A 13,772-nucleotide genomic window follows, 5' to 3' on the forward strand; every position below is an offset into this window, starting at 1 on the left:
AGCCTGAGATGTGGGCATTGTGTCAGCTCTCCACCTAAGCGCTTCTATCCCTGAGGTTTATTTTGCAAACACTTAGAACAACAATCAAGCAAAGTTTAGCAGAAAGAAAAAACAACCACAATCCAATTGCTTTAATAGGTCAGTCTTGCTTCATTTTTCAGAGTTCCTGCCCGGGGTTTGCCTAATGCCATCCCTCTACACTATTGTAACAGCGGTGTCCGACAGCACACATTTTTATCTCCAAATGCTTGGGGCTGATCTTATTCAAAGAGCCAGACAGTGTTTTTTTGTTGTTTTGTTTGTTTGTTTGTTTGTTTTTTTGAGACTGAGTTTCACTCTGTGGCCCAGGCTGGAGTGCAGTGGCGCGATCTCGGCTCACTGCAAGCTCCGCCTCCCGGGTTCACGCCATTCTCCTGTCTCAGCCTCCTGAGTAGCTGGGACTACAGGCGCCCGCCACCACGCCCGGCTAATTTTTTGTATTTTTAGTAGAGACAGGGTTTCACTGTGTTAGCCAGGATGGTCTCGATCTCCTGACCTCGTGATCCGCCCGCCTCTGCCTCCCAAAGTGCTGGGATTACAGGTGTGAGCCACTGCGCCCAGCCACCAGACAGTGTTAAGAACAAAAACTTTTTTTTTTTTTGAGACAGAGTCTTGCTCTGTCACCCAGGCTGGAGTACAGTGATGCAATCTCAGCTCACTGCAACCTCCGCCTCCCAGGTTCAAGCAATTCCCCTGCCTTAGCCTCCTGAGTAGCTGGGATTACAGGCGCCTGCCACAATGTGGGGCTAATTTTTGTATTTTTAGTAGAGATGGGGTTTCACCACGTTGGCCAGGCTGGTCTTGAACTCCTAGCCTCAAGTGATACACCTGCCTCGGTCTCGCAAAGTGCTGGGATTACAAGTGTGAGCCATCGTGCCCAGCCACAAAAGCTTCTTTAGAACTCCCCCGCCGTGTTTTAAGTGACTGACAGGCCCAGAGACTTGCCAGTTCAGCTTCGAGGCCCTGGCCACCACCCTCTCCTGTCTAAGCCTCAGTTCACGTCACAGTCTGTATAGGAGGTGGTGGGACTGGCTGATCTCTGAGATCGCTCTTGGCCTTAACATTCTGCAAGACTGTTATTAAACTCCAGCTGTTCATCTTTTCTCCTTGGTCCCCAAGAAGAAAAGATAACTAATTCCCAGTCACGTTAGGTATAAACAGCTCCAATCTCAGGTCCATGAGCTCATGTTCCGAAGGCCAGGTTCCAGGGCTCTCCCATCCACCCTTGTAAATCATTAACATACTTGCCATAGTCCTGTGAGAATGTGTGTCAGCAGCTTCCGGCCAGACTTTTCCCTGTGACTCATGGTTCTCCTTTGCTGGGAATCCCTGCTTCTCATCTGGAAAACAGATGAAACCCAGCCATCATCCCCAGGCCTAGACTGCAGCAGCCCCTCTAATACGGGCCTTTTCTCACCTGCTACAAAGATAGAGGCACTACTTGACAAGGTTCAGTTGCCTCCCTTCCTCCCTTCCACACCATTGCACCACCCCAACACCCCCACCTAAGCTAACTCCACACAAAATATTTTCTCATTCTCAGATGTTGTCAGAAATTCTACCATAAGCGATCAGCTTTTTTTTTTTTTTTTTTAACAGATCCCTGCTAAAATTCCCCTGGAGGGAGTAGCCTTAAAATTATTATTAAGCATGACACCTTGGTGAGAATAAAGGATTCAGAAGACACTTTGAAAGAGGAAGCACCTGATGGGATTGGGGGTGGGGAGAGACATACTAATATTTCCTGAGGCCCTGCCGTATGCCCGGAGCTTCATGGATGTGGACAACTAGAACCCCTGAGCCCCGGAAGAGGCAGCCAGTGTTTTTTCTTCATATGTTAGCGGGGGCAAGCAAAACCCAGAGAGGTTGAGTCATGCTCAAAATCACACGGCGGGCCGGGCGTGGTGGCACATGCCCATAATTCCTGCACTTTGGGAGTCTGAGGCAGGCAGATCACCTGAGGTCAGGAATTCAAGACCAGCCTGGCCAACATGGTGAAACCCCGTCTCTGGGCTGGGCACGGTGGCTCATGCCTGTAATCCCAGCACTTTAGGAGGCTGAGGTGGGTGGATCACCTGAGGTCAGGGGTTCAAGACCAGCCTGGCCAACATGACGGAACCCCGTCTCTACTAAAAATACAAAAAAATTAGTCCAACGTGGTAGTGGGCACCTGTAATCCTAGCTACTTGGGAGGCTGAGGGAGGAGAATCACTGGAACCCAGGAGGTGGAGGTTGCAGTGAGCCGAGATCACGCCATTGCACCAGCCTGGGCAACACAGCAAGACTCCATCTCAAAAAAAAAAAAAAGAAAGAAAAAGAAAAGAAACAAAACTCTGTCTCTACTAGAAATACAAAAATTAGCTGGGTGTGGTGGCGCACGCCTGTAATCCCGGTTGCTCAGGAGGCTGAGGCAGGAGAAACACTTGAACCCAGGAGGCAGAGGTTGCAGTGAGCCAAGATCACACCACTGCACTTTAAATGGGCGACAGAGGGAAACTCCACCAAAAAAAAAAAAAAAAAATCACACAACAAATCAGAACTGAGCCAGGATTCCAATCCTCCTGTAGCCACGAAGGAAGAGATATCAGTGTACACTCTGGTATTAACTCATTCCTTTTCTGGTTTAAGGTGGGAAGGTCCACTGGAAAGCAGAGTGTGGAATGCTAAGTTGTTGTTGTTGTTTTGAAACAGGGTCTCACTGTGTCACCCAGGCTGGAGCGCAGTGGCATGATCACAGCTCACCACAGCCTCCATCTCCCCAGCTCAGGTTATCCCCCTGCCTCAGTCTCCCAAGTAGCTGGGAGTACAGGCATGTGACACCATGCCTGGCTAATTTTTTTGTATTTTTGTAGAGATGTGGGGTTCTGCCATGTTACCCAGGCTGGTCTCGAACTCCTGACCTCAAGTGATCTGTCCACCTCCATCTCCCAAAGTGCTAGGATTGATTACAGACACCCAGCCCTGGAATGCTGTGTTTTTTCTTTTGTTTTGTTTTGTTTTCGAGATGGAGTTTTGCTCTTGTCACTGAGGCTGGAGGGCAATGGCGCAATCTCGGCTTACTGCAACCTCCGCCTCCCAGGTTCAAGTGATTCTCCTGCCTCAGCCTCCCAAGTAGCTGGGATTACAGACGTGTGCCACCACACTCGGCTAATTTGTGTGTGTTTTTAGTAGAGACGGGGTTTCACCATGTTGGCCAGGCTGGTATCGAACTCCTGACCTCAAGTGATCCACCCACCTCCGTCTCCCAAAGTGCTGGGATTAATTATAGGCATGAGCCACCGCGCGCAGCCCTGGAATGCTGTTTTGAAGGAAGAAAACCTATGTCATGCAACACAGGACAGCTTCATTGCTGGGAAGTGGAGTGGAGATGCAGGGTGCTCCAGGGCAGGGGCACCTGAAACCAGCGCAGCCTGAAACAGGCAGATCCCTTCTGCTCCAGCGCCCTGCTCCATCTGTCAATGAGAAGGAGGCTAAACTAGATATCCCCTTGGGCCTTTCCAGCCCCAACATCATGGGAGAACAGGTAGGGTGGGCCAGGGCAGGGAGAGCTGGAGAGCCTGCTCCCCTTTTCCTGCCCCCTGAGGCTCCAGTTCAGAAGATGTTCCCCTTGTCCATGAACACACAGCCTTGGCACCCTCTGCCTCCTGCCTGGTCATGGCTGTGATCCAGGTGAACCTGACCTACCTGTCTCTGGACAGAACCTTTTGACTTCTGCTAGCACAGCTCCCTGGCATCTCCCCACCCCCAAAGCTTTGGTGAGCAGAGCCAGGTGGGACTGGGCAATAGGTCTGGTCATTGCCTCCATTTGGTCATCTCAGAATCAGCCCCCTTGGAGGCATCTGTGTGACCTCTGCCCCTGCTGATGCTAGGTTATTGGTTAGGCTCACAGGGCTGGAGCTCACAGAATTTTGAGGGGCGATGAACACTGTGTTAATAATTAACATTGTGTACTACTGTAAAATGCAAAAATAAAATGGCAAAATTAAAATTAATAGACATTTCATTAAATACCTACAAGATGGAAGATTATGTCATCTTTTCGATTTGGTATTTATAAAAGTTTTACTACATTTGAAAACTCTTTGTGGGTTAGATTTTCTCACGTAGCAAGAATTCTGAGAGTTCCAGATGGTCGACGAGAAATCAGAAACTGAAAGTTACTGGTATTTTAGTTTATTTGGCAAACGTGTATTCAGGACTTACCTCTGCTGGGCGTGGTGTTATGAATTTACATATGTCAACACACTGAATTCTATGACTTAAGAGCCATCATTATTCCTGTTTTATGCATGAGGAAACCGAGGCATACAGAGGTTATGTACCTTCTCCAAGATTAGCAAAGGCAGAGTCACGTAGCCAAGAAAATTCAAAGGCAAAATTATAGAAATCTTTTCAGATTTTTTTTTTTTTTTTGAGACGGAGTCTCACTCTGTCACCCAGGCTGGAGTGCAGTGGCGCTATCTCAGCTCACTGCAAGCTCCGCCTCCCAGGTTCACGCCATTCTCCTTCCTCAGCCTCCCTAGTAGATTACAGGCGCCCGCCAACACACCCGGGTATTTTTTTTTTTTTTTTTTTTTTGTATTTTTAGTAGAGACTGGGTTTCACTGTGTTAGTCAGGATGGTCTCGATCTCCTGACCTTGTGATCCACCCGCCTTGGCCTCCCAAAGTGCTGGGATTACAGGCATGAGCCGCTGTGCCTGGCCTGAAATCTTTTCAGAATTTTTCAGGGGAAACATTTTGATAAGGGTGCATTCATGTTGCAGATGATATAGGCTGAGCCTCTGAAAGCTAGAGTGACTCAGGCCAACAAATGCCTGGAAATGGCTCTGTCCTCCAGCCCACATGGATGGTGGGGCCCACACGTGGAAGGTAACTATTGATGAAAGAAGAAAATTAGGCCAGGTGCAGTGACTCACGCCTGTAATCCCAGCTCTTTGGGAGGCTGAGGGGGAGTGGATCACCTGAGGTCAGGAGTTCAAGACCAGCCTGGCCAACATGGTGAAACCCTGTCACTACTAAAAATACAAAAATTATCCAGGCATGGTGGTGGGCGCTTGTAATCGCAGCTACTTGGGAGGCTGAAGCATGGGAATCACCTGAACCTGGAAGGCAGAGGTTGCAGTGAGCCAAGATGGCGCCATTGCACTCCAACCTGGGCAACAAGAGTGAAACTCCATCTTAAAAAAAAAAAAGAAAGAAAGAAGAAAAATTAACAACTCATTGCTCACTTGGAGGGATAGCGTCTCCAGAGAAGGGAAAAGACAGCACTTCTTAATAACACTCAGTGGTATGCCGAGGTCTCTTTAATCCCCCTTTAATCCCCCTAAATTAACTGCAGGATTGTACTGGGTATTTTTGGGTTTTGTTTTTGTTAGAGACGGCGTCTCGCTCTGTCGCCCAGGCTGGAGTGCAGTGGCGCAATCTTGGCTCACTGCAACCTCTGCCTCCCAGGTTCAAGCGATTCTCCTGCCTCAGCCTCCCAAGTAGCTGGGACTACAGGCGCGTGCCACCACGCCCGGCTAATTTTTTGTATTTTTAGTACAGATGGGGTTTCACCGTGTTAGCCAGGATGGTCTCAATCTCCTGACCCACCCACCTCCCAAAGTGCTGGGATTACAGGCGTGAGCCACCGCACCCGGCCTTGTTTTTGTTTTTGAGACAGTGTCTCACTCTGTCGCCCATGCTGGAGTGCAGTCCACAGCTCACTGCAACCTCTGCCTCCCAGGCTCAAGTGATCCTCCCACCTCAGCACCCCTCCGAGGAGCTGGGACAACGGGCTCACACCCCTACACCAGGCAGATTTTTGTATTTTTAGTAGAGACAGGGTCACGCCATATTGCCCAGGCTGGTCTCAAACTCCTGGGCTCAAGCAATCTGCCTGCATCCACCTCCAAAGTGCTGGGATGACAGGCGTGAGCCACTGCACATGGCCCGGATTGTACTGTTATCATCCCCATTTTATAGGTGAGAACATTGAGGCTCACCTTTTGACAACATTTTGCAGGGAGTGGAGATGCCGAGTGGCTTACTCAAGGCCACGAAGCCAGGGGGTTGTGCCCGTGGTAAGCGCTGAGAAGAAGGCGGTGACTGTACTTGTATATCTGGCCTCACTTCAGTTATATTGATGTGTTTAGCACCTACTTAGTGAAGAGCCCACACCTGTTCCCACCCAGTGCCGCCCTTTCCTACGTGGGCGATGGAGCAGTGGTGCATCATGGGAGCCACGGATAAGGGCTGGATGGGAAAGTTTGGGCACATCTGGAAGCCCCAGGCTGTTGTATAGACCTTCAATCCTGGGAGTCATGACCAAGGAGTATTTATGGTGCTTCAGAAACATGAGCCGAGGCTGGGCACAGTGGCTCACATTTATAATCCCAGCACTTTGGGAGGCTGAGGCATGTGGATCACCTGAGGTCAGGAGTTCAAGACCAGCCTGGCCAACATAGTGAAACCCCGTCTCTACTAAAAATACAAAAATTAGCCAGGTGTAGGGGTGCACACCTGTAGTCCCAGCTACTCAGGAGGCTGAGGCAGGAGAATCACTTGAACCTGGGAGGCGGAGGTTGCAGTGAACCGAGGTGGCTCCACTGCACTCCAGCCTGGGCAACAGAGTGAGATTCCGCCTCAAAAAAAAAAAAAAAAAATTAGAAACGTGAGCTGGGTGAGTGTCAGTTTCCTGTGGCCGCCGTAACCAGTCACTACAAACTGCTGGCTTAAGCCAACAGACATTTATTCTCTCACAGTTCTAGAAGCCAGAAGTCAGAAACCAAGGCATCCATGGGGCTGTGCTGCCTCCAGAGGCTCCAGGGGAGGAGGCGTCCTGCCTCTTGCAGCTTCTGGTGGCTCCAGGCACTCCTTGGCTTGCGGCTGCACCACTCCAATTTCTGCCTCCATCTCTTCACATGGCCTCCTCCTCTGTGTCACTGCGACTCAGTCTCCCCTGCTGCTCTTAAAAGTTCAGGCTTGGCCAGGTGCGGTGGCTCACGCCTGTAATCCTAACACTTTGGGAGACCAAGGCGGGTGGATCACTTGAGGGCAGGAGTTTGAAACCAGCTTGGCCATGATGGTGAAACCCCGTCTCTACTAAAAAGACAAAAAATTAGCTGGGTATGGTGGTGCACGCCTATAATCCCAGCTACTCAGGAGACTGAGGCAGAAGAAATCGCTTGATCCTGGGAGGCGGAGGTTGCAGTGAGCCAAGATCGTGCCACCGCACTCCAGCCTGGGTGACAGAGTGAGACTCCTTCTCAAAAAAAAAAAAAAAAATTCAGGCTCACACCTGTATAGGCTCACAGCTATAATTCCAGCACTTTGGGAGGCCACGGCAGGCAGATCACCTGAGGTCAGGGGTTCGAGACCGGCCTGGCCAACATGGTGAAATGCTGTCTCTACTAAAAATACAAAAATTAGCTGGGCATGGTGGCAGGTGCCTGTAATCCCAGCTGTTCGGGAGGCTGAGGCAGGAGAATCGTTTGAACCCAGGAGGCGGGGTTTACAGTGAGCCGAGATTGCGCCACCGCACTCCAGCCTGGGCGACAAAGCAAGACTGTCCCCTCCCAAAAAAAAAAAAAGTTCACTTGACATTGAAGTGAACCACCGTGAATCCAGGATGCTGTCACCTCAAGAGACTGAGCTTAATCACATCTGCAAAGATTTTCTTTCCAAATAAGGTCACTCGCATTCACAGGTAGACATCTCATTTTGCAGGAAGTAGGGGACAAACTTCAACTCACTGCTGCAGCCTCTTCCACCACTTTTGCTAGTACAGCATCTGTTCTGTCCTCTTCTCATGATGGGGTTTTTCCTCTGGGACCCACCTTGTGCCCATTTCAGTTCACGAGAGCTGAGCCAGGTCTGGCCCATTAAATCAGAGCATCTCCCTCGCCATAGTGATAGTCCAGGGATGGTCCAGTCAGGGCCAATCCCAGGACTCTGGATGTCTTTGCAGTAAGGCCACTAAGAGGACAGCTGCCAGCCGCCATCTTTCCAGCAGCCATCTTGGTAGGGCGACCTGGCTGAGAATGGAGTCCACACAGAGGAGAACAGGGCCGAGAGATGGAAAGTGAAGCCCAGTCTTTCAGTTGCGGAGCCAATACACCCCCTTTCCTGCTGAAGCCAGCTGAGAGGGGTTTCTGGCCCTTACTCATTGTTAGGTTTTGAAGGAAAGGCAAGGGTTAAAGGAAAAGACACACACACACACGCACACACACACACACACACACACAGAGAGAGAGAGAGGTGGGGGGTGGGGATGCGGCTCTACAGCAAACACAGGCATTTATGTCCAGCATCAGCCCTGCGGAGGTGGGGACCAGCTTGATGCCAGTGGCTACTGCCACTTATAGGCTGGAGTACGTATAGGCCTGGGCAGGAGGGGTCTGGGGGGCATGGCCTGCTGCCTGGAAAAATGTTCATAGCAGGCTGGGCGCGGTGGCTCACACCTGTAATCCCAGCACTTTAGGAGGCCGAGGTGGGTGGATCACAAGGTCAGGAGTTCGAGACCAGCCTGGCCAACATAGTGAAACCCTGTCTCTGCTAAAAATACAAAAATTAGCTGGGCATGGTGGCAGGCACCTGTAATCCTAGCTACTCGAGAGGCTGAGACAGGAGAATCACTTGAACCTGGGAGGTAGATGTTGCAGTGAGCCGAGATAGCACCACTGCACTCCATCCTGGGCAACAAAGCAAGACTCTGTCTCAAAAAACAAAAAAGAAAGTTAATAACATGCCATGTTGAGGCAGTTTGGCCCTTGTTTCCACAGAATGTGACAGTGATGCTTCTTCAGCTGGGTCTTTGCCTGGCAGGGTATGATAAGAAAGTCAGGCAGTCAGGGAGGATGTTTGTCACCACCTGAACCCCTGTGGAATATTTCACTTTGACCAAGGCCTGTGAAATGGCGGGGGGCTTACAAAATGGTGCAGTTTGGGCCGGGCACGGTGGCTCACACCTGTAATCCCACCACTTTGGGAGCCCGAGGCGAGCAGATCACCTGAGGTGAGTTCGGGACCAGCCTGGCCAACATGGTGAAACCCCATCTATACTAAAATACAAAAATTAGCCAGGCATGGTGGCACGTGCCTGTAATCCCAACTACTCAGGAGGCTGAGGCAGGAGAATCGCTTGAACCCAGGAGGCGGAGGTTGCAGTGAGCAGAGATCACGCCATTGCACTCCAGCCTGAGCGACAGAGTGAGACTCCGTGTTAAAATAATAATAATAACAGTAATAATAAAATGATGCAGTTAACACTCATCAGTGGGTTATGACTGAAACAGAGACCACCATGAGCCCTCACTTAACAAACGGGGGAGTCCCAATGGTACGTTGGCTGCTGGGCCCTCCCTACCAGAGATGAAAGTGGGACGGGCAGTAGAGGGTGAGCCCTGGTAGGGCCCTAGGAGGCCTCTGGTCCAGCCTGTCCATTTCACATTGAAGGGACAAAAGCCAGAGAGGCAGGGACCAGCCTGAGGTCACATGTGTGCTGCCCTCAGCCTAGAATGCCCATTCACCCTCACTCTCAGCTCAGGCCTCTCACGTGGGCCCTCTCCGAGGGTGGGCTGGCTGTCAGCAGGCACTGTCTTCCTGCTGAAGCCCAATATGTCCTGTCTGCACCCCCCCATAACAGCCCTGCTGATTCTGCTGCCGCTGCTTGCTGACATTTTCTTCCCTTCTGGCCATGCTGTTCTGTTCACGAAGTGCACCAATCCATGCCTCATCGTGGCATAGAGCTTGGGCCCTTCATCCTGAGTAGAAGTCTGTGGACAGAATTCAGGAGATCTGTGAACTTGGATGGGAAGAAAATAACACCTTTAGTTTTACTAATGTTGAGCGGAAATTTGGCATGTCTTTCATTATGACTGTAGGCTACAGACCACAGATATACTGGTAATATCTGTGACTTTGTCACCAGCATCCACACAGGGCCTGACAAGAGGGTGAGTCAGATGTGGTTCCTGCCTTCCCAGAGCTGCCCTGAGTTTGCAGGGGTTTGCAGGAGAGGCCGGGAGACCCAGGCTGGAGTGTTGCTGTGGGAGTGAAGAAGGGGAGGAGACCAAATCCAGAGATAATGAAGCAGTCACAGTGGCAGGCCTTGGTGGCCTGTGTGACATGCAGCCAGCACTGAATTGCCCCTCACCCTGAGCCCTCTCCCCTCCCTGGTGTTTTGGTCTGTTTTGTGCTGCTATAACAGAAGACTGGGTAATTTATAAAGAAGAGAAATTTGTTTCTCGCAGTCCTACAGGCTGTGAAGTCCAAAACCAAGGTGCCAGCATCTGGTGGGGGCCTTCTTGCTGTGTCCTCACATGGCAGAAGGTAGAAGGGCAAAAGAGCACTCAAGTGTGCAAGAGAAAGGAGGCCAAGTTTATCCTTTATAAGGATGCCACTTCAACAGTAACAAACCCACTCCCACTCCATAATAATGACATTAATACATTTGTGAGGGAAGAGCCACCATGACCCAATCACCTCTTAAAGGCCCCACCTCTCAACACTGTTGCATTGGGGATTAAGTGTCCAGCACAAGACACACTCAAACCATAACACCCAGCTTTTAGGACCCAGGAATCAGTCCCTCCAGGCTTCTTCGGAGTCAGGTCCTTGGGGGTCCATCCTGGGCCAAGCTCCTCCCTCCCATGGCACCAAACTCCATCACACACCAACCACTCCCCACATCTGCTTGACCTTCAGCCCTTACCTTTTCCTGTGCCCAGCTGAAAGTTCAAGAAGTTCATAGAAATGCCTGAAGGGACACCTCAATGTGTCCCCCAGATCTCATCCTCCTGCAGGCTCTCCCTCTCCATTTCTTTCCAGACACCCCCTCCTTTGCTCTCAGCTCTCATCCATCTGGTGATTTCATCTTCTAAGTACTCTCAGGTCCATCTGCTTCACACCATCCCCACTGTCATGAGTTCTTCTGCTTGAACTCTTTTAGCAGTGTATTTGTTTTCTATTCCTGCATAAAAAATTATCACAAACTAAGTGCTTTGTCAGCCCACCATGTTATTGGTTGGTAGCTCAGGCTCACCGTATCTGGGTTCTCTGCTCAGGGCATCCCAGGGCTAAAATCCTGGTATTGGCCAAGGCTGAGGTCTTACCTGAGACTTGGAGCCCTTTTCCCAGATCATGTAGTTGTTGGCAGAACTCATTTCCTTGCAGCTAGAGAACTCATGGAGGCTTCCTTGACTTTTTTTTTTTTTTTTGGCAGGGTCTCGCTCTGTTGTCCAGGCTGGAGTGCAGTGGTATGATATCAGCTCACTGTAGCTTCATCTTCCTGGGCTCAAGGATCCCCCCACCTCAGCCTTCCAACTAGCTGGGACCACAGGTGCACACCACCATGCCCAGCTAATTTTTGTATCTTTTTTTGGTAAAGATGGTGGCTTGTTATGTTGGTGAGGCTGGTCTTGAACTCCTGGGCTCAAGCAATGCATGCACCTTGGCCTCCCAAAGTGCTAGGATTACAGGTGTGAGCCACTGTGCTTGGCCTTTATTTTTATTTATTTATTATTTTTTAAAAATAGAAACAAGGTCTCACTATGTTGCCCAGGCTGGTCTCAAACTCCTGGGTTCAAGTGATCCTCTTGGCTCTGCCTCCCGAAGTTTTGGGATTACAGGCATGAGACACTGTGGCCAGCCCCTTGGAGTGTGTGTGTGTGTGTGTTTGAGATGGAGTCCCTTTCTGTCACCAAGGCTAGAGTGCAATGGCATGATTTCAGCTTACTGCAACCTCTACCTCCCGGGTTCAAGCAATTCTCCTGCCTCAGCCTCCCAAGTAGCTGGGGTTACAGGTGCCTGCCACCATGCCCGGATAATTTTGTTTGTATTTTTAGTAGAGATAAGGTTTTACCATGTTGGCCAGGCTGGTCTCAAACTCCTGACCTCAGGTGATCCACACACCTTGGCCTCCCAAAGTGCTGGGATTGCAGGTGTGAGCCACCACACCCAACTGAACTTTTTAAAATGGACATTTTTTCTCCATAACTACAATACCATCATCACACCTAATGAAACTAACACTAATCCTCTAGTTCCTTCTTCAGGCCAGCAGAAGCACATCTCTCTGACTTACCCTGTCTTTAAGAGTCCCCTTTCAAGAGATCACCTTATTAGGTCAGGCCCACCCAGGACAATCTCCCTTTTGATCAGTTCAACTGTGAGGGACCCGAATCACACTTGCAAGTTTCTCTTTTGCCAAATAATGTAACACAATGACAGGAGTGATATTCCGTCATATCTACAAGTCTCACCCATACTCAAGCGGAGAAGATGACACAAGGACATGGTCACTGGTGGTCATTTTAGAATTCACCTACCACGAACATCCTCTTCGTGGGGCGATATGGCTGGGATGTTTGTCCCCTCCAAATCTCATGTTAAAATGTGACTACTAATGTTGGAGGCGAGGACTGGTGGGGGGTGTTTGGGTCATGGGGGCGGACAACTCATGAATGGCATGTGTCCTCATCATGGTAATAAGTGGCAATGAGTTCACACAAGATCTGGTTGTTTAAAAGCGTGTGGCATGCTGGGCGTGGTGCTTCATGCCTGTAATCCCGGCACTTTCGGAGGGTGAGATCGGCAGATCACCTGAGGTCAGGAGTTTGAGACCAGCCTGGCCAACATAGTGAAACCCTGTCTCTGCTAAAAATACAAAAATCAGCCAGGCGTGGTGGCAGGCACCTGTAGTCCCAGCTACTCAGGAGGCTGAGGCAGGAGAATCACTTGAACCTGGGAGGCGGAGGTTGCAGTGAGCCGAGATGGCTCCACTGCACTCCAGCCTGGGCAACAGAGTGAGACTCTGCCTCAAAACAAAACAAAACAAAAAAGCATGTGGCCCCTCCCACCCCTCTTGCTGTCTCATTGCGTGATGCACTTGCTCCCTCTTTGCCTTCTGCCATGATTGGAAGCTTCCTGAGGCCCCACCGAAGCTTACCAGATGCTGGTGTCATGCTTCTACAGCCTGCAGAACCATGAGCTAAAATAAACCTCTTTTCCTTATAACTTATTCAGTCTCAGGTATTGCTTTATAGCAATGCAAAATGGACTAACCCATGGGGTCTCCCAACTTAGGAGGCCTGGCCCCTCCAACCCACCTTCTACCCAAAAACCAGGGAGATCTATTTGTCTGTCTGTATATCATTGACCTATCTTTTCTTCTTTCTTTGTTATTAATTTTTTCTTTTTAATATGAAATATTTCAAATAAATCCAAAAGTAGAGTGAAGTATATAATAGAAAATTTTTATATCCATCCCCTAGATTTAAATTATTAATATCTTGCCATATTTTCTCCATTTGTTTTGTTAGAAATATTTTTGTTTGTTTGTTTGCTTGTTTTTGAAACAGAGTCTCGCTCTGCCACCCAGGCTGGAGTGCAGTGGTGTGATCTCGGCTCACTGCAATTTCTGCCCCCTGGGTTCAAGCAATTCTCGTGCCTCAGCCTCCTGAGTAGCTGGGACTACAGGAGCACGCCACCATGTCTGGCTAATTTTTTGTATTTTTAGTAGAGATGGGGTTTCACCATGTTGGTCAGGCTGGTCTCGAACTCCTGACCTCAGGTGATCCACCTGCTTGGCCTCCCAAATTGCTGGAATTACAGGTGTGAGCCACCAAGCCCAGCTCATCTTGTTAAAAATATTTTAAAGTTAATTTTAGATATGATGCTCATTCACACCCAAATGCTTCAGTAAATGCATTGACTTTTTTAGGTGGACATTTTTTTCCATAACCGCAATACC

At 49.7% G+C, this 13,772-nt stretch overlaps 5 annotated features.

The window, feature by feature from the left end:
• Positions 1,201-1,345: an enhancer, noted in NCBI's record as "145 bp enhancer 63 fragment used in the MPRA reporter construct; PK_construct_542". NCBI's record gives its function as "activates an SV40 promoter by MPRA in HepG2 cells {active_cell/tissue: HepG2}" and the evidence as "EXISTENCE:reporter gene assay evidence [ECO:0000049][PMID:23512712]".
• Positions 1,267-1,280: a transcriptional cis regulatory region, noted in NCBI's record as "HNF1 motif; enhancer activity is reduced when this motif is scrambled". NCBI's record gives its function as "necessary for full MPRA enhancer 63 activity {active_cell/tissue: HepG2}" and the evidence as "EXISTENCE:site-directed mutagenesis evidence [ECO:0005528][PMID:23512712]".
• Positions 1,525-1,584: an enhancer, noted in NCBI's record as "active region_19221". NCBI's record gives its function as "activates an Ori minimal core promoter by ATAC-STARR-seq in GM12878 lymphoblastoid cells {active_cell/tissue: GM12878}" and the evidence as "EXISTENCE:reporter gene assay evidence [ECO:0000049][PMID:35858748]".
• Positions 4,420-4,469: an enhancer, noted in NCBI's record as "active region_19222". NCBI's record gives its function as "activates an Ori minimal core promoter by ATAC-STARR-seq in GM12878 lymphoblastoid cells {active_cell/tissue: GM12878}" and the evidence as "EXISTENCE:reporter gene assay evidence [ECO:0000049][PMID:35858748]".
• Positions 9,651-9,830: an enhancer, noted in NCBI's record as "active region_19223". NCBI's record gives its function as "activates an Ori minimal core promoter by ATAC-STARR-seq in GM12878 lymphoblastoid cells {active_cell/tissue: GM12878}" and the evidence as "EXISTENCE:reporter gene assay evidence [ECO:0000049][PMID:35858748]".

Source organism: Homo sapiens, chromosome 22 (assembly GCF_000001405.40).
Source record: "Homo sapiens chromosome 22, GRCh38.p14 Primary Assembly".
NCBI classification, from domain to species: domain Eukaryota; kingdom Metazoa; phylum Chordata; class Mammalia; order Primates; family Hominidae; genus Homo; species Homo sapiens.